The 2,826-nt window shown below is 44.1% G+C and overlaps 1 annotated feature.

The window, feature by feature from the left end:
- Positions 1,493–1,592: a silencer, noted in NCBI's record as "silent region_17484". NCBI's record gives its function as "represses an Ori minimal core promoter by ATAC-STARR-seq in GM12878 lymphoblastoid cells {active_cell/tissue: GM12878}" and the evidence as "EXISTENCE:reporter gene assay evidence [ECO:0000049][PMID:35858748]".

Consider the following 2,826-nt stretch of genomic DNA (forward strand, 5'->3'; position numbering starts at 1 on the left):
AGAGTTGCTTTCCACACTCTGAAACTGTGACACGAGATTCACTTTGGAGAGTCTTTTGTGGATGAGCCTCATCAATTAACAGTCCTAGTGTGTGTAAGCGTGAGCTCAGTTTTGTTCTGTCAAGTCTTAAGACAGCATTTGATTTAGCAGTTGATTCAATTACATTACATGTGGATTTGGAAAAGTGGTGTGTGTGTGTGTGTGTGTGTGTGTGTGTGTGTGTGTGTATTTCTTTTAAACAATGATGTAACCTTTCTGAATTCAGGTGGAAACTGTCTTGATTGACCTCCGCGTACCAGGACAGATTAATTAACTCTTAGTTTCTTTCGTGGAACATACGAACACACCCTGAGCTCACTGAGAGCTCACAGCTGGTAGGAGAGGAGGCTCCTCTTTAGTAGGCCCAGTGTGTTGTTTGCCTCTTTCCTAATCTGTTCATTCCACTTAATTGTATCCCGATAACGACACAATTTGAGCAAATATTAATTTGAGCAAATATTACTAAAACTGATGATACACAGATACATGAAGAAAGATATTTCCAATGGAAAGAAAAAGCAAAATGCTTGGGAAAGATTCAACAGGAAAAGCTGCTTTAAATGTGTTGTTGAATTATATTTGATGGTTATGAGTACAGAATCTAAGATTCTTTAGTCAAGATGTTTTACACTGTCTCTAAATTCTCATTTCACAAAGGAAACTCAAATGAGACAACATGGAGGATGCATTATATGTGTGGCTCATAAAGAGAGGGAACAATACAGCACTCTAATCAGCACATCTATATTCAAAGAAAGGCATTGGCTAAATAAAAACACTGGTGAGTAAATAGACAACTCAGTTCCCTGCTAAAATAAAATGTTTGTATAGGCAGGACTCCTGCGAGAGCCCCTTTGACTGCCCGTTGAGCGCCCTCTGCTGGCCCGGAGGGAAGGGTGCCACGGAGGGGACGGCGTCAGGGCCCCACCCACGGTTTAGTTTCAGATCAGCGCTTTTCAGTTCCAAGATACAGATTCCGGTTCCAATGAATGCTGGTTGAAAATACGGCCGTGGTTTTAAATATCATGAAACTATTTTACGTCCGTAGTACTTTCATCTATTTTTATAAGAATGTTTTGTAACTGAGAAACCTAAAGAGATGATGAATTTCCCCCACCGCCCCCGACTATTTTGCCTTTCAGTGACGCGGTAATATTTTACGATAGGTGCCGATTCAAATCAGTGGCTTTCAGAAAGTACAGCTGCTATTCTTTGGTGCCGCTATTCAGAATGACAATGTGAAATAAAAATGATTCTGACTATGGGAAGGTCTGATCTTCCTATGAATGAAAACAATCATGTGGGCCACAGAGAGCTCTCTCTTTCCAGCTATCGAGGGACTTTTTGCAGAGAGAGAAAAGGATCCTAAAGCCATGTTCCCGATACTGCAGACTTGGCGAGATGGCGGCGGGCTCCTCCCACCTCTGCGGCAGCGTCACAATCAATAATGCAGGGCTCTGCGGCAGAGGAAGCGCCTGCTTTTATATAGGGGCGCCCGGACCCCAGAGCAGGGCTAGTCCCTTAACCCATTCCGCCATCTAGCGTCCGCAGGGGCTCATGGCAGGTTGGAGCCGGACAGTCTGGAAACTGCAATCTAGATTTTGCAGAAGGGTGACCTTTAGCCTTCTGCAAAACCTAGATCTCACTTAATGTAGATCTCACTGAAGAAGGCAAATAAAAAGTGAGTGGAGTGTTTATTCATTTTCCTGTAAGATTAGTAACTTTAAGGCTAAAAACTCTAAAGTAAGTATTTCCCAAGCCCCTGCTGTAAGTCAGTCATGTTGTGGGTACCAAGGCTATGAAGATGTCTCAGTCTCTATTTTCAGTGACCCAGTCTAGTAGGGACAAGCCATATGAACATATGCCCAGTTAAATTTGAATTTCAGGTTAACACGGAATTTGTGTGTGTGTGTGTCCCATATATGCTAAAGCAGTTAACTGGGCATCTATTATTATCATTATTTTTATAAGCAAAATCTTGCAACCGTGCATATAAACAGATGATTGCAGTATGGGCTTTACAAGGGCAGGGTGGCACGCTAATTGCTTGAGGAGCTTTGCTGTGGGTGCTGGTTAGGAAGCGTTCTCAGGGGAGAAGTCGCTTGTGCAAACTGCTTATCAGATAAAGCAGTGGGCAGGGTTGTCCTGGTAGAATCGCATAAGCAAAAGCAAGAGGCTGGGGGACTCGCAGTACAGCAGGTCTGTGCTACCTGAGCTGGCAGGTGAGGCAAGGATAGTGCAGGGGTGAGGTTGCTTCATCGTGGAAGGCCTTCTACTGTGCTTCCCAGGAGCTGGGTTCTATTCCAGGGGGAGTGAAAAAGGGTTTTGAGCGGGAGAGTGACATGATCTAATTTGTGTTTAAGAAAAAGAGATCAAATGGCAATGTTGAGGCTGGACTGGGGGAGGTAGGAAGCTTGGAGGCAGGGAGGCCTGAAGGAAATTGTCTAAGGTGAGTGAGCTCAGAAAAGTAGCAGAGCTTGAAGGTGAATGAGGGTCTTTTGACTCCAAGTCCAGGATGCCTGTCACTGTCCCCATCTAATTGAATTATGATTCACATGTGCAAGCATTTTACAAATCAGGAATGACACACCACATTATGCATACTTTTCCTTCTCTGAAAGATTAGCTTCACCCACATTTGGAAATACTGGAAATTTTTCTGTCCTCCTCTTCTCTTGCTTCTCCTTTGCATGTGGTCGGCCTCGGTGTCTGCCTCTGATTAACTCAGCCCTGTTTCCCACACAGAGCTCCCCCTGCAAACCAGACTAACAAGGCCAAGTGACAAAA

This window comes from Homo sapiens, chromosome 6 (assembly GCF_000001405.40).
Source record: "Homo sapiens chromosome 6, GRCh38.p14 Primary Assembly".
NCBI lineage: Eukaryota > Metazoa > Chordata > Mammalia > Primates > Hominidae > Homo > Homo sapiens.